Source organism: Homo sapiens, chromosome 17 (genome assembly GCF_000001405.40).
Source record: "Homo sapiens chromosome 17, GRCh38.p14 Primary Assembly".
In the NCBI taxonomy this organism is placed as follows: Eukaryota; Metazoa; Chordata; class Mammalia; order Primates; family Hominidae; genus Homo; species Homo sapiens.
This window is the reverse complement of record NC_000017.11, coordinates 31,089,757-31,112,393: the sequence shown is the minus strand read 5'-3', so window position 1 is coordinate 31,112,393 and position 22,637 is coordinate 31,089,757. Positions and strand designations below refer to the sequence as shown.

The 22,637-nt window shown below is 42.5% G+C and overlaps 1 protein-coding gene, 2 long non-coding RNA genes and 1 other non-coding gene across 7 annotated transcripts in view, besides 18 other annotated features; 2 read left to right on the top strand and 2 right to left on the bottom strand.

Annotated features, from left to right (window-relative positions):
* Positions 1 to 17,417, bottom strand: part of NF1 (neurofibromin 1) — a 282,699-nt gene extending 265,282 nt beyond the window's left edge. For all 3 annotated transcript variants that reach the window (NM_001042492.3, NM_000267.4, NM_001128147.3), the window contains exon 1: positions 17,025 to 17,417. In NM_001042492.3, coding sequence (NP_001035957.1) covers positions 17,025 to 17,084 — 60 coding nt within the window. In that variant the 5' untranslated portion in view covers positions 17,085 to 17,417. The remainder of the gene's footprint in view (positions 1 to 17,024) is intronic.
* Positions 8,550 to 8,731: a silencer, noted in NCBI's record as "fragment chr17:29430681-29430862 (GRCh37/hg19 assembly coordinates)". NCBI's record gives its function as "represses an EF-1alpha promoter that drives an FKBP-Casp9 reporter gene in an ReSE screen in K562 erythroleukemia cells {active_cell/tissue: K562}" and the evidence as "EXISTENCE:reporter gene assay evidence [ECO:0000049][PMID:32094911]".
* Positions 16,904 to 21,652, top strand: MIR4733HG (MIR4733 host gene). 2 transcript variants are annotated; one of them, NR_186435.1, is made up of 4 exons: positions 16,904 to 17,167; positions 18,903 to 19,021; positions 21,276 to 21,369; positions 21,459 to 21,652. It is a non-coding gene; the product is annotated as an MIR4733 host gene (long non-coding RNA). The 2 variants fall into 2 exon arrangements; NR_186436.1 differs by lacking the exon at positions 16,904 to 17,167 and adding an exon at positions 17,580 to 17,868.
* Positions 17,013 to 17,062: a silencer, noted in NCBI's record as "silent region_8409". NCBI's record gives its function as "represses an Ori minimal core promoter by ATAC-STARR-seq in GM12878 lymphoblastoid cells {active_cell/tissue: GM12878}" and the evidence as "EXISTENCE:reporter gene assay evidence [ECO:0000049][PMID:35858748]".
* Positions 17,013 to 18,789: a biological region, named in NCBI's record as "NF1 (neurofibromin 1) promoter region". NCBI's record gives its function as "regulatory_interactions: NF1".
* Positions 17,028 to 17,338: a transcriptional cis regulatory region, noted in NCBI's record as "+231/+539 fragment". NCBI's record gives its function as "negative regulation of promoter activity" and the evidence as "EXISTENCE:reporter gene assay evidence [ECO:0000049][PMID:14647436]".
* Positions 17,093 to 17,116: a protein binding site, noted in NCBI's record as "+460 (KLF) site". NCBI's record gives the evidence for it as "EXISTENCE:protein binding evidence [ECO:0000024][PMID:14647436]".
* Positions 17,103 to 17,172: a silencer, noted in NCBI's record as "silent region_8408". NCBI's record gives its function as "represses an Ori minimal core promoter by ATAC-STARR-seq in GM12878 lymphoblastoid cells {active_cell/tissue: GM12878}" and the evidence as "EXISTENCE:reporter gene assay evidence [ECO:0000049][PMID:35858748]".
* Positions 17,139 to 17,162: a protein binding site, noted in NCBI's record as "+415 (SP1) site". NCBI's record gives the evidence for it as "EXISTENCE:protein binding evidence [ECO:0000024][PMID:14647436]".
* Positions 17,394 to 17,417: a conserved region, noted in NCBI's record as "conserved_region; NF1HCS 24 nt element". NCBI's record gives the evidence for it as "COORDINATES:sequence similarity evidence [ECO:0000044][PMID:16059932]".
* Positions 17,407 to 17,424: an enhancer, noted in NCBI's record as "-320/-336 ICSBP/IRF8-binding cis element; nf1TATACAT". NCBI's record gives its function as "mediates activation by Spi1, Irf2, and Irf8" and the evidence as "EXISTENCE:reporter gene assay evidence [ECO:0000049][PMID:17200120]".
* Positions 17,407 to 17,424: a protein binding site, noted in NCBI's record as "ICSBP/IRF8-binding cis element". NCBI's record gives its function as "positive regulation of promoter activity" and the evidence as "EXISTENCE:protein binding evidence [ECO:0000024][PMID:17200120]".
* Positions 17,407 to 17,424: a protein binding site, noted in NCBI's record as "ICSBP/IRF8-binding cis element". NCBI's record gives its function as "positive regulation of promoter activity" and the evidence as "EXISTENCE:protein binding evidence [ECO:0000024][PMID:15371411, PMID:17200120]".
* Positions 17,407 to 17,424: a protein binding site, noted in NCBI's record as "ICSBP/IRF8-binding cis element". NCBI's record gives its function as "recruits Irf2 and Irf8; promotes transcription in myeloid cells" and the evidence as "EXISTENCE:protein binding evidence [ECO:0000024][PMID:17200120]".
* Positions 17,412 to 17,837: a promoter, noted in NCBI's record as "-270/+155 promoter; pMXNF13". NCBI's record gives the evidence for it as "EXISTENCE:reporter gene assay evidence [ECO:0000049][PMID:14647436]".
* Positions 17,565 to 17,804: a transcriptional cis regulatory region, noted in NCBI's record as "-263/-3; BssHI/EcoNI fragment". NCBI's record gives its function as "mediates inhibition by HTLV-1 tax protein" and the evidence as "EXISTENCE:reporter gene assay evidence [ECO:0000049][PMID:8627811]".
* Positions 17,568 to 17,591: a protein binding site, noted in NCBI's record as "CRE; binding blocked by cytosine methylation". NCBI's record gives its function as "positive regulation of promoter activity" and the evidence as "EXISTENCE:protein binding evidence [ECO:0000024][PMID:10435592, PMID:14647436]".
* Positions 17,694 to 17,717: a protein binding site, noted in NCBI's record as "Sp#2 site". NCBI's record gives its function as "positive regulation of promoter activity" and the evidence as "EXISTENCE:protein binding evidence [ECO:0000024][PMID:10435592, PMID:14647436]".
* Positions 17,826 to 17,849: a protein binding site, noted in NCBI's record as "TLF oligo 3". NCBI's record gives the evidence for it as "EXISTENCE:protein binding evidence [ECO:0000024][PMID:15767669]".
* On the top strand, positions 17,969 to 18,044 carry MIR4733 (microRNA 4733). The gene has a single exon (NR_039886.1). It is a non-coding gene; the product is annotated as a microRNA 4733 (primary transcript).
* Positions 18,766 to 18,789: a protein binding site, noted in NCBI's record as "Sp#1 site". NCBI's record gives the evidence for it as "EXISTENCE:protein binding evidence [ECO:0000024][PMID:10435592]".
* LOC124903974 (uncharacterized) lies at positions 19,267 to 20,759 on the bottom strand. Its single transcript, XR_007065704.1, has 2 exons — positions 20,687 to 20,759; positions 19,267 to 19,518 (listed from the first exon to the last, which is right to left on the bottom strand). It is a non-coding gene; the product is annotated as an uncharacterized LOC124903974 (long non-coding RNA).

The following is a 22,637-nucleotide window of genomic DNA, read 5'->3' as shown; positions in this document are numbered from 1 at the left end:
ATACAATCACTTTAGGAACAGCTTGGTGGCCTCTTAAAATATTACAGAATATAATATCCTGTAACATTATTATATACATCCACCATATGATCCACCCATTTCTACTCCTTTGTATTTACTCAAGAGAAATGACAGTCATGTATATGAATCTTCAAGACAACTTTATTTGTAATGGTGAAAATTTGAGTTGTCTTCAGTTATCCATCAACAAGTGAATGGATAAACAACTTATGATATATCCACTGAGACAAAAACAGCTCAAGGGTTCCCTAGGGATGGGATGGAGGTAGGAATGGATTATAAGGAGGCTGGAGAAAACTTTTGCCGGTAATATATGTTCTTCATCTTGATTGTGGTGATGGTATCAAAGGCTTATATGTATATCAAAACTCATCAAATTATACATTTTAAATATGTGCAGTTTATTGATTGGATGGCAATTTTACCTTAACCTAAAAGCTGTGGAAATTCTATTATTCTAGAATAGCAAAAAGCAATAAAGTTCCTAAAAACAGCAATAAAAACAAGAGGCAATAGGTCTTGTCTATTTACTCACACACTTACCCGAGTGTGTGCTCTTCATTATTTCCTACAGTTTTGTACTTCCATTTGAGATATTTTCATTCTGCCTAAAAAACTTCCTTCAGTAATCTTACAGTGCAGGTCTGCTGGTCATAAATTGTCAGCTTTTGATTGTCTAAAAATGTCTTTATTTCGCCTTCTTGTCTGAAGGATATTTCTGCTGAAGGTAGAATTCTAGCTTGGCAGGTTTTTTTGCCAACATTTAAAAAATGTCTGTTATTTCCCAGTTTCCACAGTTGTATTAAAAAGTCAGCCATCAGTTGTATTATATCGTTCCTTTGAACACAGTGCCTTTTTTCCCCTCTTCTGGCTGCTTTTAAGCGTTTCTCTTTGTTTCTGGTTTTCAACAGTTCCATTAAGATATGCTAAGTGTAGTTTTCTTTGTGTTCATCCTGCTTGGGGTTTGCTAAACTACTTGAATTTATAGGTTGATGCCTTTCATCAGTTTGGGAAAATATTTTATCATTACCTCTTCAAGTATTTGCTTCCATGCTAATCTCTCTACTTTTGGGTCTCCAATTACACATTAGACTTTTTACTAATGTTCCACATGTCTCAGAGGCTCTGTTCTACTCTTTCCATTCTTTTTTTTTTTTCTGTGCTTTTATCTAGATATTTTCTATTGATCTGTCCACAAGCTCTCTAGTCTTGCCTTCTGCTGTGTATAGTCTGCTACTGAACCGGTACAATGAATAATTAATTTCAGATTAATGTCAATTAATTATTAATGGGGGGGTTTGTGATGGTGGTGTTAAGGAAGATTTTGTTCTGTCTTGTTTTGTTTTTTAATGTGGCATGCACTATACTAAGCCCTGGGAGTACAACAACGAACAAAACAGACATAGGCCCTGCTCTCGTGGAACTTAAATAGTATACATTAAATTTACCTGGGTTTTTTTTGTTTTTGTTTTTGTTTTTTAAGAACAGTAAAGAATGAGGGGGAGGTGGAGTGTCCTAGAGTCCTGCGCCAAAGTTTCTAATTAAACTACAAATAAAGACCTTAAGCAACCAACGTTGTGTTTTTGATTCCTAGAATGTTCATTTGGTTTCTTTCTGTGGATTCCAATTCTCTATGAAAATTTTCATCCATTTTCTCCGTATTTTCCTTTATTTTCTTAAGTATATTATAGTTATTTTAAAATAAGTCTTTGTCTGATGAACTTCAATTTTCTGAGTCTGCTTCTATAAGTTTTATTTTTCTCTTGAATTTTTCCACCCTTTCACATCTCTAGAATAGTTAATAGTATGATAGTATTATAAACGAAAGAACCATAGAAACCCCAGAATATATCTCCTCAGTAAGAGCTGTCTATTTCCTCTATTAGGCAAAAGGGATAAGATAGGCTGATCACCTCAGTCCAATCAGGAATTGAACTGGGCCAGGGATATGTTGCAGTTTTAGTAAAATGCACTTCCTCTCTAGTTTCCTTTTCCTTCAGTGTGTGTCCAGAATCAGCAAATGTCAGCAATCCTCTGCTCACCTATAAAGATCTCTTCTATTTCTGGAATTCTAATTCATCTAGTCCTCATTACATCCATAGCTCTCCAATATTTTTTTTAGTATTGATTTTTAAAGTTCATCCAATTGTGGTTTTCTAACTTGTTGCAGTGATATATATGACTGTACTGTGACCTATTAAATACCACCCAGAAATTAAATTCTCCCTGTATATCACACAGCAGTGGTTTACAAACCCAGCTTTATGTCAAAAATGACCTGGGACCTCTAGAAATCACACGATGTTTAGTAGAGCCAGGAAATCTGTACTTTTAACAAGTCTTAAGTGATCTGGCAGAGCTGACATTTCTAAAGAAACTAGCGTGCCTGCACCAGTTGCTCCTCCTCTCCCCTCCCCCACAGCTCAGTATTTATAAGGACATTTAAGAAAAAATACACACTACACACAATGGATAAATTAACAGAAGAGTTAAAACAAAAGTTCAGAATAACTAGAAATGTTAAAGACAAAAATATGTAAAGGCTTTTAAAATACATTAGGATCAAAAAGATGAGGAAAGAAGAACAAGAATCACTAGAGTCCATGATTCCAGCACCAATAGGTCATTAAAAGCAGAACTATTCAACTCAATTTTTATTTCTAATTGTTCTAGTTGAAAATAAAATGAGGCCAAGGCATGGTGGCTCACGCCTGTAATCCTAGCACTTTGGGAGGCCGAGGCAAGAGGATCACCTGAGGTTACGAGCTCGAGACCAGCCTGGACAACACAGTGAAACACCTTCTCTATTAAAAATACAAAAATTAGCCGGGCATCGTGACAGGTGCCTGTAATCCCAGCTACTCGAAAGACTGAGACACAAGAATCGTTTGAACCTGGGAGGCGGAGGTTGCAGTGAGCCGAGATCGCGCCATTGCACTCCAGCCTGGGTGACAGTGACTCAAAAAAGAAAAAAAAAAGAAAAAGAAAAAAAAGAAAATGATCTTCAAATCTGAAAAAAAGCATTGCTGAGAGTCATCAGAACTTAGATACATAAAGCATGAAGAGCCCACCTCCCTGTTTTACCTGAGCTCAAGTGTACATGAATCCAAGATACAGATGAAAATTTAGAAATATGGTAAGAGAAATGTGGTCAGTGAACTTGCAGAAGTCATGAAAAGTAACAGGAGCCAGATTGGGAATGAGAAAATGTTGTTGCAATTGTCAAAATCCAAGAGTGGGTAAAGGTGAAAGGGTGATTTTAATACTATGGACTTAATTTAATGTCAGCATCCAGATAATTCTAAGACTGATTAGGCATGAGTTGTTAGCACTTATACAGGGAAGCAGCATTTACTAATAAAATCTTACCTTTGTAAAGCACTTTTGCTTTTGAGTTTAGAGTAGACAAAATACTTTCATGCATATTACCTCCTATCTTTGATTCTCATAGATCCCTGTGAAAAAGTGCAGGTAACATTATGTCCCCTCCACCACGTGTTACTCTCTTCAACATATTAGGAATTCAGGGCTCATACAGCTTGGCTTGCCCCCCTGTTAACTCATTCCAGTAGAAAGTTAAGACTTAAAGTCAAGTCTTCTGATTCCTAATTGAGTTGTTTTTATATTACACAGCTCTTAAAGTCAGTATAAGAATAAATCACGCTGAAATGATATATAGGATTGCTTTAAAATAATAAAGAGGTAGTGAGCAGGAAATGGGTAGGAATACGGATGAAATAAGACTAGGGAGAAATTGAGTAATGGATACAAAAGGATTAATTTATAACATCTCTCTAGGCCATGTGCAGTGGCTCACGCCTGTAATCCCAGCACTTTGGGAGACTGAGGCGGGTGGATCACTTGAGGTCAGGAGTTCGAGACCAACCTGCACAATATGACAAAACCCTGTCTCTACAAAAAATACAAAAAATTTAGCCAGGCGTGGTGGTGTGCACCTGTGATCTCAGCTACTCGGGAGGCTGAGAGAGAGGATGGCTTGAGCCTGGGAGGCAGAGGTTGCAGTGAGCCAAGATCGTGCCATTACACTCCAGCCTGGGTAATAGAGTGAGACTCTGTCTCAGAAAAAAAAAAAAAAAAAAAAAAAAAAAACTCTCTACTTTTATGTTGGAAACTTTTTATTTTAAAACATGTGAATTAACATTTTTGATAGGTATACTGTACTGGTAATCAAATGCATACCAAAAATATACTGTACCTGAAGCTCAGCATTTTTTTTTTTTTAACAGAGTTTCACTCTGTCACCCATGCTGGAGTGTAGTAGCACAAACACCACTCACTGCAGGCTCAACCTCCTGGGCTCAAGCCATCCTCCCACCTCAGCCTCCCAAGTACCTGGGACTACAGGCATGCACCACCACGCCTAGCTACTTTTTTTATTTTTTTGTGCATACTAGCTGTGTTGTCCAGGTTGATCTCAAACTCCTGGGCTCAAGCAATCCTCCCTCCCCCACCTCCCAAAGTGCTGGGATTACAGGTGTGAGCCACCATGTCCAGCAAGCTCAGCATTTTTAAATCCATTTAAGTTTCATATAATGCCCTCATACAACATTGGGAGGAAAGATAAAAAATGGTATGCCTGAGTACTGACCACCATTGCACCAAAAGGAAAACAATTAGGATAGTGAGGTGTCTTGAAAACATGTTCTTTGAGAAATGGTTGAAGAATGAATGAAATTTTTTGGTGGGGGTGGGAATCTAGGGTGTACTTAAGATGTCTTCAAATGTTTTTATTTTATTTTTATGTATTTATTTTATTTATTTATTTATTTTTTCAGAGACAGAATCTCGGTTGGGCACGGTGGCTCATGCCTGTAATCCCAGCACTCTGGGAGGCCGAAGTGGGAAGATCGCTTGAGTCCAGGAATTCAAGACCAGCCTGGGCAAGATGGCGAAACCTCGTCTCTACAAAAAATTTAAAAACTAGCCCGGCATGGTGGCATGCACCTGTGGGTAGTTTGTGTCATGAGAGGAACAAGAGCTTCAGGTCTTCGTTGATCTTTGTCGCCAATATATGACTAAAACAAAACCTACTATCACTGTCATTCCCTACTCCAGATTCACTTATCAGAGGCCAAAAACTGAAACATAACAGGGAAAGAAATACTGTGCTTTTTTTCCCTCCGCACTCATTACCCAAAAGGAAGAAGACTCACATGGAGCATAAAGGCACATTTTCCCAGACCCAAGGTGGGACAGGAATAGAAGGCACCGATAAAGACAGGAGGATAGAAAAAAATACTCCAAAAGACAAGATGAAGGATTTGAGGGTTGTTATAGGGAAAAAGAAAAACTGAAAAAGTAGATGTAACAATTAAAAAAACCACATCCAGGAATCTTCATTCAAATACTACCAAAGTTGAAAAGTTTGCCTCAAATGTAATCAAACTCTAAGTAAAATGTTCTTAGAATATAAAAACCAACTTTACAAAAATAGACTGTGCAATGCCAACATGAAAGAATCATAATCTCATATTTATAGCTGTATGTGTATTTCTGTTGGTATTCTCACAAATTCTATTCTCCCACTTAAGAATGTACAATAAGTGTATTATATAACTAAATAAAAGGGAAACAATGTTACAACTTCTAACAGCTGAAGAAGTTTTGATAAAGTGACCAGGAGAATAATACATAATGAAATCAAGGATATATAATGCTTAAAATTTACATCTATTTCTAACATCTAACCAACTTGAAAAGATTCAGATACTCTAACATGAACTTAAAAGGAAAAACATAATATACCATCTTCGAGTGAAGAAGCAATCATACATCCCTCATTTTGCATATTTGTACTACCTGTTAGTAAAATTTAGACTTTTAAAACTATTTATTGGAAAGATAGTGATCTAAGGGTCAAGACATCCATACTCTAGTTTAACTCAGTTAATTATATAATCATATGATTGTGAACATGTTTTGCCTCTGTAACTTTTTTCTCATGTAGAGTAGAAATAATAACCACCAAATTATAAAGAATGGATAGAAAAAAAATACTGCACAGATGCTAATACATTTTTATGACTGTTTACAGCTTCCTTTCATATAAGATTCATACCTAAGTCATTAAACAAGCCCATGATGTGAGAAGGGTAAGTATCATGCCCATTTTACACATGAAAATATAGAAAACTGATGTTCAGAGAGGTTAAGAGACTTCCCCAAGACCACACTGCAAGTTGCACAATCAAAAGCTTTTTCTTTTACTACATAGTAGGCTGCCCTCACAAGTCTAAAGTGGTAAAAGTTGTTTTCTCATGCCCAAACTACTATGAGAACTACCCAAGAGAAACCGTGTCAACAGAAAAGTGTCACCACTTGAGATCATTAAGAGACATAACTTCCCAAAAGGTCATTATCTGAGTATAAAATTTTGATTAAAAATAAGTTAAATAATCCTTAAAAGTTTCTAGTAGTCCTGCTATTTACTAAATTAATTTCATGCCTCTTGTGCTAGATATACCACTCTGCTGGTGGGGGTGGGACACGGGAGTTAGGTGGAGCAGGAAAGAATTTCATCAGAAAAAGTTAAGTTCTCAGCCGGGCACGGTGGCTCATGCCTGTAATCCCAGCACTTTGGGAGGCCAAGGCAGGAGGATCACCTGAGGTTGGGAGTTCAAGACTAGCCTGACCAACATGGTGAAACCCTGTCTCTACTAAAAAAACAAAATCAGCTGGGCATGGTGGCGCATGCCTGTCATCCCAGCTACTTGGGAGGCTGAGGCAGGAAAATCGCTTGAGCCTGGGAGGCAGAGGTTGCAGTGAGCCCAGATCACAACATTGCACTCCAGCCTGGGCAACAAGAGCAAAACTCCATCTCAAAAAAAAAAAGTTATCTGAAGTTCAATGGAATAAGACATTCAAAGCTATAAAATATGAATAAGGGCAGGCGACAGCTTGTGGACTGCAGTGGCAACCCTAAGCCAAACCGTGAGTGCCAGACTATGGTTTAAAGAAAATATGCAATCTGGAAGTTTGCACCTCAAGTTACTGCTACTGCAAAGTAATTAGTACCATTTATGGTAAGAATATGTAAAGTTTTAGAACATAATGCCAATTCTTCATTTTAGTAGGATGAACTCCACACTAGCTTGAGGCTTTGTCTCAACAGAAGCTTTTTGATGATATAGTCAGTGGCTCAAAAGCCACTCAGGACCCAGCACAGTAGTTCACGCCTGTAATTCCAGTGCTTTGGGAAGCCAGGTGGGAAGACTGCTTGAGGCCAAGAGTTTGAGACCAGCCTGGGCAACATAACAAGACACTGTCTCTACGAAAAAAATTAAAATAATAGCCAGGTATGGTGGCGCACGCCCATAGTCCTAGATATTCGGGAGGTGGGAGATCACTTGAGCCCAGGAGTTCGAGGCTATGGTGAGCTATGATCACACCACTGCACTCCAGCCTGAGGAACAAAGAGAGACCTCACTTCTAAAATAAATGAATAATAAACAATTTTTAAAAACCAGTTATATGCAGAGAATATAACTATATATCACAGGCATATAACATTTGAAGTGGTCAAATGGATTGCCTTTAAGAGAATTTAGCGAGGGTACTATAAACAGCAGTTATAGTTTATATCCTATAGCATTAAACACCTGAGAGTACTCTGTTTACTGAAGGCTCTACCACATAGTATGATACAGAAATTTACAACTTGCTGAGACCTTAAACTTAATTCACAGTCACTACAACGTAAAACCACTTTTCTGTCCTTCAAGATCAAAACAAATGGTCTCATCTCTCCCTTCCCGCCCCCAAGAAAATGGGGTACTTTAAAAGATGTCAGATGAAACAAGCCAATGCTTTTATAAATACAAGTCAATCCTTTGCAAAGAAACAGATTAAGATGCTCATATTCTGCTTCGGTATTGATCCCAAGCCTTTTAACAGTTTAAGCTGACCACAAATCTCCCCTTCCACTTCTATAGAATATTCTCCTCCTTAAACTTCCTTTAGAGCCTTCCGATACCTCCTGTCCCTTGACTTATATACACACACACCTCCAAAATATACGCAGACCTAAGGAACACAAGTGGAAAACACATTTTTAATTAATACGCTGCTTATCCTTAAAAGTATGTCGTTAGAATGCAACAATATAGAGTCTACATAGAACCCCAGAATACCAAATTTGAAAGCTACAACAAAAATGCCCCATAGCAATCTGAGTAATTTAAAGAACAAAGATGTAAAAAATAAGGCATTCTTACTACTGTATTATATGACTTAAACTTTTGTTTAAGGACAAAATGTTTGGTTGGGTGCAGTGGCCGGTACCCAAATAAAAAACGAAAAACAAAAATACTTTCTCCATATTAAAAAAAAAAATTTTTTTTGAGACAGGGTCTCACCCAGGCCAGAGTGCAGTGGTGCAATCATGCCTCACTGCAGCCTTAATTTCCTGGGCTCAAGCAATCCTGACTCAGCCTCCCAAGTAGCATATACTACCACACTTGGCTAATTTGTCTGTTTTTTTTCTTTTCTTTACTTTCAACCAATGCACACTGGCTGATTTTTTTTTTATTTGTTTTTTTTACTTTTTGTAGAGATGGGGTCTCACTCTGTTGCCCAGGCTGGTCTCAAACTCTGAGGCCCAAGTGATCCTCCCACCTCAGCCCCCCAAAAAGCTTGAATTATAGGCATGAGCCACCGCACCCAGCCAAAACATTTTTTAAAAGCAGACTTAAGGCCAGGTGCAGTGGCTTGCATCTGTAATCCCAGCACTTTGGGAGGCTGAGGCAGGTGTTTGAGGCCAGCCTGGCCAACATGGCAAAACCCCGTCTATAGTAAAAATACAAAAATAGGGCCAGGCACGGTGGTTCAAGCCTGTGATCCCAGCACTTTGGGAGGCTGAAGCGGGCGGATCACCTCAGGTCAGGAGTTCAAGACCAGCCTAGCCAACATGGTAAAACCCTGCCTCTACTAAAAATACAAAAAAATTAGCTGGGTGTGGTGGCACACGCCTGTAATCCCAGCTACTTGGGAGGCTGAGGCAGGAGAATCACTTGAACCCGGGAGGCAGAGGTTGCAGTGAGCCAAAATTGTACCACTACACTCCAGCCTAGGCGAGAAAGCGAGAACTTGTCTCAAAATAATAATAATAATAAAGCAGATTTGAGAAAAGAATCTAATTTCCTAATGGTTAAAAAGTCAAATAAAAAGAGTAGGGCAAAAAACAGGAACATTTAAAATAAAATGTAACAATATTAGACCAGCACCACAGCTTATGCCTATAATCCCAGCACTTTGGGAGGCTGAGGCAGGTGGATTGTTTGAGGTCAGTAGTTTGAGACCAGCTAACATGGCGAACCCTTGTCTCTTTTAAAAATACAAAAATTAGCCAGGTGTGGTAGTACGTGCCTGTAATGCCAGCTACTTGGGAGGCTGAGGCAGGAGAATCGCTTGAACCCAGAAGGTGGAGCTTGCAGTGAGCTGAGATCGTGCCACTGCACTCCAACCTGGGCAATAGAGCGAGACTCTATCTCAAAAAAAAAAAAATGAAGAAGAAGAAAAAAGAGAACTTGTCAATGGATACTAAAGTAAGGTATATATTGGCCAAGGTACATACAAAGGAATATCCAGAGACTAGTCACGCTCTCTTTTTTTTTTTTTGGAAGACAGGGTCTCACTCTGTCACCGAAGCTGGAGTACAGTGGCACAATCATGGCTCACTGTATGCTTGAACTCCTGGGTTCAAGTGATCTTCCTGCCTCAGCCTCCTGAGTAGCTGCGACTACAGGCACATGCCACCACACCCAACTAATTTTTTTTAGAGACAGCATCTCACTATGTTGCACAGCCTGGTCTTGAATTCAAGGCCTCAAGCAGTCCTCCCACATGGGCCTCCCAAAGTGCTGGGATTACAAGCATCAGCTACCGCACCTGGCCTACTCTCCCTTATTTAATGAAAACACAATAATCAGTAATAAGCTACACTGCACTCTAGCCTGAGTGACAGAGCAAGACTCTGTCACACACACAAAAAATAATAATAATAATAAGCTATAAAGAAAACATATAAATCTTATATTAGAAAAATTTTAGACTTTTCAAAGTGCTTCACATTCATATTCTATCACACCATTGCAAAATATCCTAACAGTAAGTGACAAATCCAAAATTACAAAAGTAGTTGATCAGATCTGAAACCTGATTCAAAAAACATGTTTGCTCTATGGGAGGAAATATAAATATGTATAAATTCCTTCTTTATGCTAATTTTCTTACTCATTCCTAGTTAAAATATCACTTATCAGACCTAGGCTATTGCAAACATGGAAGTAAAATTCAGTAAAACAAAGCCAAAAGTACCACTTTTTTTATTTAGCCAGTCTACCCTTCAACCAGGAATCATATGAAAAACATTCCATCAATGTTCTGTGTGTTTAAGACTGTGCTGGGCACTGGGGTGACTAGAAGAGAATTCAAATAGCGTTCTTTGCTTTTCAGAAAGTATGCACTCCATTTGATAAAAAGACAAGAAAAAAAGAAAACAAAGCCAAGCTGTGTTCAAACAATCCTCCTAAAGGAAGAAAACTTACTGTGTGGTTCTGTAAAACTCCAGGTAACAAGGATACCAAGAAGTGAGATAGCAGAGTTTAGTCTGAAACAACCTCATGGGGAAAAAAAAAAAATGAAATCTGAGCTGAACATTGAAGGATGGACAGGAATTAGAAAAGCACAAAGGAGGAATTAAAGCATTCAGGCAGAGACTGGCAGAAATAAAGGCCAAGAAGTGGGAAGAAGCATGATACACACAGAAGAGACTGAGGTGACCTGCCTGGAACATAGGTGCATGCAGAGGCATAATGGGAAAGAGTTTGGTAAATCAAGTGGGGTCAGCTCCCAATAGACTGCTGGGTCACAGAGACATGCTGTTAGAATATTAAAATCATCGAATATTTAAACTTGAAAGAATCTAAAAGATTTTCTAGCCATTTCTTTTTCAACAGATGAGGAAATCAAGGATCTATAGGAAAGCTAATGGCTAGGATAGGGACAAAGGCACTGAATAGCAGAACAAAACTAAGACCCCCGCTAAGGAACTCCAATTCAGTAGAAAAGTATTGTGTCTTGGGAACTGGAAGAGATTGGTTTCCGGGGGGAGTGGAACATCACAGTGGCATTACAACTAAGCAATGACCACTATGTTTTGCCAGAAGTAATCACTTTCAAGAAAACAGCAATCAAGCAGAGGCAGGAGCTACTTTTCAGAGTTATAAAGGAAATGGGTGGATAAACAGTAGAGGCGGTGAGTATCTGGCAACAACAACAACAAAAAAGACTGGTCCACAGAGAGAGAGCTGCAGGACCAAGTAAACGTCTGATTTCCAAGAGAAAGGAAATCTTAGCCTGAAAAGTGAAAAGAAAGCAGCCAACATAAAGACTAAATTAGTTCCCAGACAGATAAGGTGGAAAGTGTAAGGGAGTGCAGAGAACTGAGGAACAGCTGGAAGAAATCTTTCTAAAGGATGAATTCCGGGCCGGGCACGGTGGCTCATGCCTGTAATCCCAGCACTTTGGGAAGTCAAGGCAGGTGGATCACGACATCAAGAAATTCAGACCCATCCTGGCTAGCACGGTGAAACCCTGTCTCTACTAAAAATACAAAATTAGCTGGGCGTGGTGGCATGCGCCTGTAGTCCCAGCTACTTGGGAGGCTGAGGCAGGAGAATCGCTTGAACCCAGGAGGCAGACGTTGCAGTGAGCTGAGATCGCGCCACTGCACTCCAGCCTGGGCGACAGAGTGAGACTCCATCTCAAAATAAATAAATAAATAAAAATTTAAAATAACAATAATAATAAATTAAAAAATTCCGAAGCAAAGAATAAGCATTATTGTGCTCGATTCAGCACCACATATACTAAAATTGGAAGAATAAGCATTATTTCTCACTCACCATAAAGAATTCGTCACCATAAAAGAGTACTCATTTTCAACTACTATAAGGCCTTATAAAAATTACACACCAGGCTTGAAGAATGAGGCTAGGAGATATTTTTTAAATCCAAAAAGCTTCAGTTTTGCAAATCTATTTGTCTAATCAGTATGTGGTTTGTAATTTCGAAGATACTTGCCAATCATTTTATACTGTGAATCACTCACCGCATATTCAACGTACATTCAGATGAACACTCAATGTATGAGAACAACAAATATGCTACTACAACCTCTAAAATCAGAGTTTATTCCATAACATATTCTTTAAATTGGGTTTTTTGGCTTTTATGTACTACTTTTGCTTGATCAGATATGGAAAATATAATTGCTTTAAATGAACATATTTACAACAAATCATTTTGGGATGGAGTTCTTTTTAATTCTTTTTTTTTTTTTTTTAGTTCAAATATCCATAGTTTTCCCATACTTCCCTTCAGAAATAAAGCTCTACAGGAACCAGTGGGGCATACAGAACTAGGGGAGATACACAGAAGGTTCTAATTTGCTTAGAAACTGGGTTAATGAACCACAATTAAAAGCTACACATGGCCGGGCGTGGTGGCTCACGCCTGTAATCCCAGCACTTTGGGAGGCCAAGGCAGGTGGATCACCTGAAGCCAGGAGTTGGAGACCAGCCTGGCCAACACGGTGAAACCCCCGTCTCTACTAAAAATACAAAAATTAGGCAGGCGTGGTGGTGGGCGCCTGTAATCCCAGCTACTTGGGAGGCTGAGGCAGGAGAATGGCTTGAACCCAGGAGGCAGAGGTTGCAGTATGCTGAGATCTCCCCATTGCACTCCAGCCTAGGAGACAAGAGCGAAACTCTGTCTCAAAAAAAAAAAAAAAAAAGCTACACACCTACAATTTGTCAGTTTCAATTAGAAACTTGCTATTTGGCACCACGAAGGCAGGTTAAGGAGAGATGTAAGATTTAACTGATAACATTCAGCTTTCTGGCTGTCCACCTGTGCAACTGTCATTTCCCTAACCAAGGAGGTGATTACTTCTAAAATTGGTAATACTCATTCAACTTAGACCCTAAATACTAGGTTTAGCTGCAATATTATCAGGTTAAGGAATTTTATATTACCCACAAGAATGTGAGCTCAAAATGTCAATATGGCACACATCCACTTCTTTTAACTGAGTCTACTGCACTAAGTTGCTAAGCGATACCCATCAGAGTGCAATATGTCTGTAATCAGCAGTGGCTAGAAATGCATTTCTGCTTTAATCACACCGAATATTAGAAATCCAACCAAAACAGCAATCATAAACAGAGTTGCCATCTTTAGACATGCACATGCTCCCTGGGGGCGTTAAGTGGTCCAACAGGCAAACTCTTAGCTGTAATAAGAAGGAAAGCTTAACTCCCCCTGGGCCCAGTAAAGCAAAGTACAGATAATATAATCCAAAATTCAAAAGTTTTATAAACAGTTGAAACTATTAAGATTCTTTTTTTTTTTTTTTTTTTCTGAGATGGAGTCTCGCTCTGTCACCCAGGCTGGAGTGCAGTGGCGCAATCTCGGCTCACCGCAAGCTCCACCTCCCAGGTTCAGGCCATTCTCCTGCCTCAGCCTCCCAAGTAGCTGGGACTACAGGCACCCACCACCACACCCAGCTAATTTTTGTATTTTTAGTAGAGATGGGGTTTCACTGTGTTAGCCAGGATGGTCTCGATCTCCTGACCTCATGATCGGCCCGCCTCGGCCTCCCAAAGTGCTGGGATCACAGGCGTGAGCCGCCGCGCCCGGCCAACTCTTAAGATTCTTATACAACTATCTCTCAGTACATGCAGGGCTTTTTCTCCCCTCAATAAAAATGTAAGCGATGGCTCACGCCTGTAATCTCAGCACTCTACTAAAAATAACAAATGTTATCCAGGAGTGGTGGCAGGCGCCTGTAATCCCAGCCACTTGGGAGGCTGAGGCAGGAGAATCACTTGAACCCAGGAGGCAGAGGTTGCAGTAAGCCAAGGTCGCATCATTGCACTCCAGCCTAGGCAAGAATCATGAAACTCCGTCTCAAAAATAAAAAAAATAAAATAAAGTCTTCTAAATATATTTAATGGATTAGAACAAATTTTATGGGATACTTAGGAAAAGTATCTCCCTGATGGTCAAGCATTCACTACTTTTCATACTGAAGCTCTTATTAGATCTATGTCACTTAACCTTCCCATGCCTCAGTTTTCTGACTAAAAGACATTTTCAACCGTAAGGTGAACTCTAATTTGAATTAAACATTTATCACTTATATAATAAATTAATATATTAATTTATTTTATATATATACTATATATAATATATATAAGTACCTTATGTTAAACACTGAAAACCCTTACATTTTTGTATCTCAAGGTCAGAGACTTTAACTTTCTAAGAGAAAAATGTGAGGAATAGGCCAGGCACAGTGGCTCATGCCTGTAATCCCAGCACTTCGGGAGGCCGAGCAGGGGGTGGGGGGCAGATCACCTGAGGTCAGGAGTTCAAGACCAGCCTGACCAACATGGTGAAACCCCCGTCTCTACTAAAAATACAAAAATTAGCCAGGCACGATGGTGCACACCTGTAATCCCAGCTACTTGGGAGACTGAAGCAGGAGAATCACGTGAATGTGGGAAGCAGGGGTTGCAATGAACCGACATCAAGCTACTGCACTCCAGCGTGGGCGACAGAGCAAGACCTTGTCTCAAAAAAAAAAAGTGAGGAATAATCTCTCCTATATATCTTTCTCTTAATTACAACATAAGGAATGCAGAAAAATGCTGTTTTAAAAACTAATGTCCTTAATTTTTAACAGATGGTGGTGAGTTTGATTCCACAATATGCATAACAAACAACGAAGCCTTAAGGTCTTTTAAAGCTAGGGACAGAAGGAGAAACACTTTCTTGCTTTACTGGGTATATAATCAAAATCATTCCTCCTTTTTTTTTTTTTTTTTTTTTGGAGACAAGAGTCTCGCTCTGTCGCCCAGGCTAGAGTGCAGTGGTGTGATCTCAGCTCACTGCAACCTCCACCTCCCGGATTCAAGCAATTCTCCTGCCTCAGCCTCCCGAGTAGCTGGGATTACAGGCGCCCGCCACCATGCCCAGCTAATTTTTGTATTTTTAGTAGAGACGAGGTTTCTCCATGTTGGTCAGGCTGGTCTCAAACTCCTGACCTCAGGTGATCCACCTGCCTTGGCATCCCAAAGTGCTGGGATTACAGGCGTGAGCCACCGCGCCCAGCCCAAAATCATTCCTCTCTTAAGTATCTTTTTCCAATATGGCAAATAAGCCTAGAGATGAACAGGTAAGAAGTAAAAAAATAAAATTAAGAAAAAACTGAAAAAAATTTTTAATTTTTAAAATTTAAGGAGAATTGCGGCGTGGATCCTTCAATTTCCTACATCCAGATTCTGCTGTCCACAAGGTTCAGCTTTGGAAGTCTTCTATGTGCCTTTTAAATCCTTTCTTAAAATTACAGAGTCTTTTCTACCAAGTTTTAAATCTAACGCTCTATCAATAATGTAATCTTTTATATGCAGTAACATTATACTTCAGATGGATTAGTAGTTTAGTTTAGATGCCTTTGGGTCTGGAAGCATACGAATGGATAAAACAATTCCTTCAAGTCTCTGACAGCTTCATAACTCTATTTTATCTACATAGCTTCTTCTCAACTTCCTCTGTCTATTCCAAGATATTTTCCAGGTAGGTCTGAAACGCTGAGTCCCGTAAAGAAATGTTTATGCATCAAATAACAGAAGAGCTCTTCCCCCACCCCTTCAGCTCCCATAATGTTTTACCATTATATCCAGTAAACAAAATAGGTTGACTCAATCTTAAACAATTCCCCCATCACAGGAAGCCCACTGCACCCACAGCTGCAGAAAGCATCCCTTAAACCATCCCCAACTACCTACAGCAACACAAAGTTAAACCAATTTCCACTGACAAAAGGCTATGTGTGCATTTATTCTAATCAGCCCCAGGATTTATTGTGTGAAACTCAGGCGATAAAAAGTCACCTCCTCAAGCTACAAAACTTTTTTTTCATCCCAAATATTCTCAATGAAAGTTCTCTTGTCAACCAGGAGAGAGTCAAAAACAACCACAAACACTAGCAGAATGATCCGCTCCAGGACCACATCCCAGCTGGCTTTGCTCTGTTGTCGGTGGCTCTGAAGCAGTTTCTCACTTTCCTTTCACCCTTCTCCCCTTTACTCCCCAACATTCTCACTCGAGAATGCATCACATCCTCAGACCGCTGGCAAAAAAAAAAGGGGGGGGGGAAGAGACTGCAATTATCAAGGAAGGGGAAGATATTTCAGAACCACGGTTTCCACTGCAAACGGCAATAAAAAAAAAAGGCAGTCTGTGTCATCAGGATATGGGGGACGACGTTGTAGGGCATCACAAAGATGTGCAGTGAGTGTGCACTTGAAGCTCTCGGGGCAGGATGAGACGATGGAGCAGAAAGTAAGAAAACCTGTGCCTTCCTTGCTTTCTTCTGCTCTTCCCCCTCCAGGAGAGGAAGCTGAAGAAACTGGGGGAGGGGCGGAATGTTATCGTTCTCCTATTGAGGGTATATAAGACAGGCCTTAGGGTTCGCTCGTCCCCAGTTAGGAGGGTCACGGAGGGAAGAGGAAGAGAGAACCCCTAAACGTTACCCACCTCTGCTCAAAAACAAAAGTAAGGGGGTAATTATTAAATCCAGATGGCGCGCCCCTAAAGGCGCCCCCAGGTCACTCATCCCCATTTCCAAGCGGAAGGGCTGGGATAAAGGGGATGGAGGGTCGGAGGCTGGTCAGGGACAAGGCCCCACCCCCCGACTTAGGAGGGAAAGGGTGCCCAAGCTCCCAGCTGTCCCCTCCTACCCCTCACCTCCCGCCTTGGCCACCCCCACTTATCCCCCCTTCCCTTCTCTTCCCTTCCCTTCCTTTCCTCCAGAGCCTGAGGCAGCCGCGGGGGAGGCGGCCGCTCCTACCTCCCCTCACCTACTCTGTCCCCACCCCCACTCCGCTCCCACCTCCCGCCCGCCACGGGCCGGTTACCTGCTCGTCGAAGCGGCTGACCACGGCCTGGACCCATTCCACCGGCCTGTGCGCGGCCATGTCCTCCCCGCGGCCGGGGGGCGGCGGAGGGAAGGGTGGGCCGGCGCCCTGGGCCGGGAAGAGGGCGGGGAGCGGAGGCTGAGGTGAGGGAAGAGGCAAGGAGAGGGTCTGTGGAGTGCAGGCTCCCAGTGTTCCCACGGGGGTGGGGATGGGGGGTCAGCGCCGAGCGGGAGGGGGAGAGGGAAAGGGGGCGTTGGCAAGGAGGCTGGGGGGAGGGGGATAGGGGAAGGGGACCCGGGGAGGGGAGGGGGCCTCTTGGTCGCTCTCCCCACTAGCGCCGTCTCCCCACAGCCATCACAGTCCGAGACGCCGCCATGACACCCCACCGGAAGTGGGATCCTTTCCACGGCCCGGGGAGAGGGAGCGCGAGCGAGCTAGAGATTGAGAGCGCGGCTGGGAAAGGGGAGGGGGAAGCGAGAGGGAAGGCGGCCTGCCGCGCATGCGCCCGCGCCGGCCGGTTTCATTAATGAAAAAGCGAGTCCTCCTGGAGGTGACGTCATCTAACTCCTCTGGGCCGTCTGGCGAGCGTCCCTCACCGCCGTGGGGCTCACCTAGACTGGCGCTGGGCTCAGCTGGCGAGTGCCAGAGCTGACCCGGGAGCATCCACTCCCATCCCCACCGCCCCCTACAGCTGTCCCCTCCCCCGCCGGCCTCCGGGTTTGGATTGCTCCCGGAGTTGGAAGTTAGGGCGCCCTGGGGCTAGCCTTTCTCCCAGCGCGCGGATCTCTGCCGCTAATCTCCTGGGGAGGCTGTGCTCTCAGCTTAAGCTCTCAGAAAAAATAAGGTACACGACCTCCGATTTTCAGGTTCTTCGTAGCTTGGTAGACTGCTGAGAAACAAAAAAGGAAGGCCAAAGAGAGATTCCGTGATTTTTTTTTTTTAGAGGTCGCTTAAATCCCAATGCTAGACCCGGTGGCAATCAAGGTCTAGCCACCAGGTCTAGCATTGGGATTTAAGCCCAGCTTTCCTCTGCAAAACTCATAGCCATCCAAGTTAATATAACTATTGCACAGTTGATGAGAGATTCAAGTTTCACCACCCTCAAAACACCTTTAAGGCCTTGCATTCATTATTAATTCAATATATTCATCGTCTTATTTAAATCCTTGAACAAACCTTTTCAATACATATCATTAACTTCATGAACTGATGAATACGTCACGTCCCCACCCCCGTGGGAACGCTGGGAGCCTGCACTCCTCCCTCAGACCTTTGATTTGCCCAAGGTCTGAGTTGACAGGTGGCAAAGTCAGGATGTAAACCAACGTGGTTTAACTCCTAGAACAATAGAGGTAGACTATGGGTCTCCTAAAACAAAGTCCTTCCCTATACCTCCAATACCAGAGTTGAAAGGATTTCATGTGTAATTGGGTTGTGCCAGTTTTCCAGGAAGAGGATTACATCCAAAACAACGGATAATCTATGTCTGACATTGGACTTTGGAATGACTAATTTTTTTTTTTTTTTTTTAAGACAGAGTCTCACCCTGTCACCCAGGCTGGAGTGCAGAGGCGCGATCTCGGCTCACTGCAACCTCCGCCTCCCGGTTGAAGTGATTCTTCTGCCTCAGCCTCCCGAGTAGCTGGGACTACAGGCATGCGCCACCACAGCCGGCTAATTTTTGTATTTTTAGTAGAGACGGTGTTTCACCATATTGGCCAGGCTGGTCTTGAACTCCTGACCTCATGATCCGCCCACCTCAGCCTCCCAAAGTACTGGGATTACAGGTGTGAGCCACCGCACCTGGCCTGGAATGAGTAATTTTAAAATTTGTCTTCCTCGATACATTTTACCTAGGCAAATGTTTTTGTTTTTCAGAGACAAGGTCTGACTCTGTGCAGTGGAGTGCAGTGGCTCAATCATAGCTCACTCCAGCCTCAGACTCCTGGGCCGAAGTGATCCTCCCACCTCAAGCTCCTGAATAGCTGGGACTACAGGTGAGTGTCACCCTGCTTTGGCTAATTTTTTTTTTTTTTTTTTTTTTGGTAGAGACACAGTCTTGCTATGTTGCCCAGGCTGGTCTGGAACTCCTGGCCTCAAGTGATCCCCCTGCCTTGGCCTCCCAAAGTGCTGGGATGACAGGGGTGAGCTACCACACAGGCCCCTAGGCCAATGTTAAAATGAATTTACACATTCCAAGCACGCGCTAATCAGCCAGTTAAGCCACACAGACACTGGGTGATAAGGGAGAACAAAACTAGAATTTTAATTTTCCTACAGAAAAGCCACAAAGCCAGTAGCCCACATACAGAGAGATATATCCTTGAGAAAAGTTTCCAATCTCTAGGTTGGTGGTTGTCCAAAATACATATTAAATTAATGTTTTATTCCACTAGAACAGACAGACAGTTTGGACATGTCTTTTGTCCCTTCTTCTTTAAGGATGCAATGCAGATACTAATTTCTTTTAGATGATGTCAGAATGATGACTATGCTGGAAAGAAATGGATGAATATTAAATGAATGTCTATCTATGTTTCTCCCAAGTAGGACCCCTGAAAAAGCACTCACTCATACCCCCAAGATAGTATTCCAGTGCCCCCTACTGCACTGCTAAACTTCAGACCTATGACCTTCCTCTCCTTTTCTCATACTTCCTCTGAAAGTCCCTAACTACTTCCTTGTTGCCATGGCTTTTTGCCTGTCTATCTCCCTGATCTTCTTCCCTACACTGGATGCAACTGCCCAAACCCTCAGCTCCCTTGCCTTCCCTGGCATTCCGTTGCTGAAGTTCCTCTGTGCCTTTCTCTCCTCTTCTTCTCTAGTTTAGTCTACCATTGCCCACTCTTCTTTAGCTCTGTGGTAAGACACCCAAACTTCAGGCCCTGGCCCTCTGCTCTTCTTCCTTTACTCAAGCTCCTGCCAGCATGTCATTAATTCATCCTAATTTGTACTCCCTGTTCTGTTGCCTCCCCTCAGTGCCAAACCTCTCATTATAGTCAGAGGCCTAGACTTCACCCCAACTTCCTCTCCAATTAAATTCATTCAGTTCTGCTGAACCAGTATTAAGTGTCCAAATGGGCCGGTCGTGGTGGCTCACACCTATAATGCCAGCACTTTTAGAGGCCGAGGTGGGAGGATTGCTTGAGCCTAGAAGTTCAGACCAGCCTGGGCAACATAGTGAGATCCCAGCTTCTACCAAAAAAAATTATTTAAATTAGTTAGGCATAGTGGTGTGCATCTGTGGTCCCAGCAACTTGGGAGGCTGAGGTGGGAGGATCACTTGAGCTAGAGAGGTCAAGGCTGCAGTGAGCTGTGATCTCGCCACTGCACTCCAGCCTAGGCAACAGAGCAAGACCCTGTCTCTAAAAAATAAATAAAAATAAAAGTACCCAAATGCCTGTTATGTATTATGTACTTTGTTAGACCATACATAGTACATATGGCAGGAATGCTAAACAAAAGTGCCAAAGAAGACTGGACGCTGTGGCTCATGCCTGTAATCCCAGCACTTTGGGAGGCCGAGGCAGGCAGATCACCTGAGGTCAGGAGTTTGAGACCAGCCTGGCCAATGTGGTGAAACTCCATCTCTACTAAAAAAAAAAAAAAAAAAAAAAAAAAGCCGGGCATGGTGGCACATGGCTGTAATCCCAACTACTTACTAGGGTGACTGAGGCAGGAGAATTGCTTGAACCCAGGAGGCTGAGGTTTCAGTGAGCCTAGATTGTGCTGCTGCAATCCAGCCTGGGCGACAGAGTGACTCCATCTCAAAAAAAAAATGCCAAAGAAGGTAATGCATAGAGACTGTGGTGAATTAAGAAGCATATACCCACCTCCATTTATCCAGATAAGAGATACTCTCTCCATTTAAAGAGTATCTGTCACTCAACTCCAGTTACTGCCATGCAGGAATGTTGACCCAGTGTTGCTAGATCTTCTAGTTACTCAAGAGAAGCTAGAGATCTGAACTTACATATAAACTCTTCCAATTTTTACATAGTGGCAGCCAATTTACATTTTTTAAATGCTGTGTAGCCAAACAAAATACGTCTGCTGTCTGAATGTAGCCCATGGAACACCAGTTTGACCAGCACTAGTCTAGTGAAAAGGCATGAGCCTTACAGTAGAACAGAATTAGATTTGTATCCTAACTTCCCCCATTTTGCACTGTCCAACAGTATTCAGGGAACCCTTAGTGTTTCGTATTGTTTTAAATGCATCTCTCTCATTCAGCCTCTGTTTTTTGGTCAGGCAACAAGCTCTGCCAATTTTTTCTTCGAAGAGTTTTGTTCCAAGCTGGGAGCCGTGGCTCATGCCTGTCATCCCAGCACTTTGGGAGGCCAAGGTGGGTGGATCACTTGAGCCCAGGAGTTCCAGACCACCCTGGGCAACATGGCGAAACCTCATCTCTACAAAATTTTTTTTTTTAATTAGCTGGGCATGGTGGCATGTGCCTGTGGTTCCAGTTACTTGGGAAGCTGAAGTGGGAGGATCGCTTGAGCCCAGGAGGTCAAGGCTACAGTGAGCTGTGATGGTGTCATTGCATTCCAGCACTCCAGCCCGGGCATCAGAGTTAGACCTTGTCTTAAAAAATAAATAAATGAATAAATATAAATAAAAAATAAAAAGCTTTTACAGTAGTATTCCCTTCATTCTGCCCACCACCCCCATCTCCACTGGCACAACCAACCATCCCAGCATACCAAAGAGCACACCACTCTTCAGGACTAAGGTGCTCATTTCCTCAGCTGCTGGGCGCATTACTTGTCAACACCTATCAGCTAAATCCCTTTCCAGGAGTTGCCTTCAGCTGAAGAAAGCTGCCTCTCACCAGGTCCGTCTGCACTGACTGGCAGATGCAGGGCTCAGGGTGGGGCTGCTCTGAAGGGCTCTCCTGGCACCAGAGCTCCCTTAGGATCCGGAAGCTGAGGCATTTGCTGTAACTACATTTAGTTCAACTTTTTCTGCTCAATCCTACTCCTTTCCTGCACGGTGTTGATTCCAAGGGCAATTAAATCCATGAGTGTGGCCGGACACCATGGCTCAGACCTGTAATCCCAGCACTTTAGGAGCTGAGGCAGGTGGATCGCGTGAGCCCAAGAGTTCAAGACCAGCCTGACCAACATGGTAAAATCGTATCTTTACAAAAAATAAAAAAATTTGCTGGACATGGCGGTGAGCAGCTGTCATCTCAGCTACTCAGGAGGCTGAAGCTGGAGGATTGCTTGATCCCAGGAGGTAGAGGCTGCAGTGAGCCATGTTTGTACCACTGCACTCCAGGCTGGGTGACAGAGCAAGACCCTGTCTCAAAACAAACGGACAAAAACGTCCCATGAATGTGGTTTGATCCAGTGGAGCTGAATCATTCCCCTGGCCAGTTAGCAGTAAGGTCCACAGGGGAAGCCCTGACAGGCCCCGGCGTGCCATAGCAGTACGATGTTAAAACTTTCAGCAATGGTGAAGAGCTGGAATGGGTGGGATGTAACCTCAGTGGAACAATGCACTCGTAGGTGCAATCTATCAGGCATTTTAACAATATAGGGCAAATAGTAGTTTAAGAACAATGAAATTGGATGGCTACTGATGGAGTAAACCTGTGCTTTGGAGAAAGAC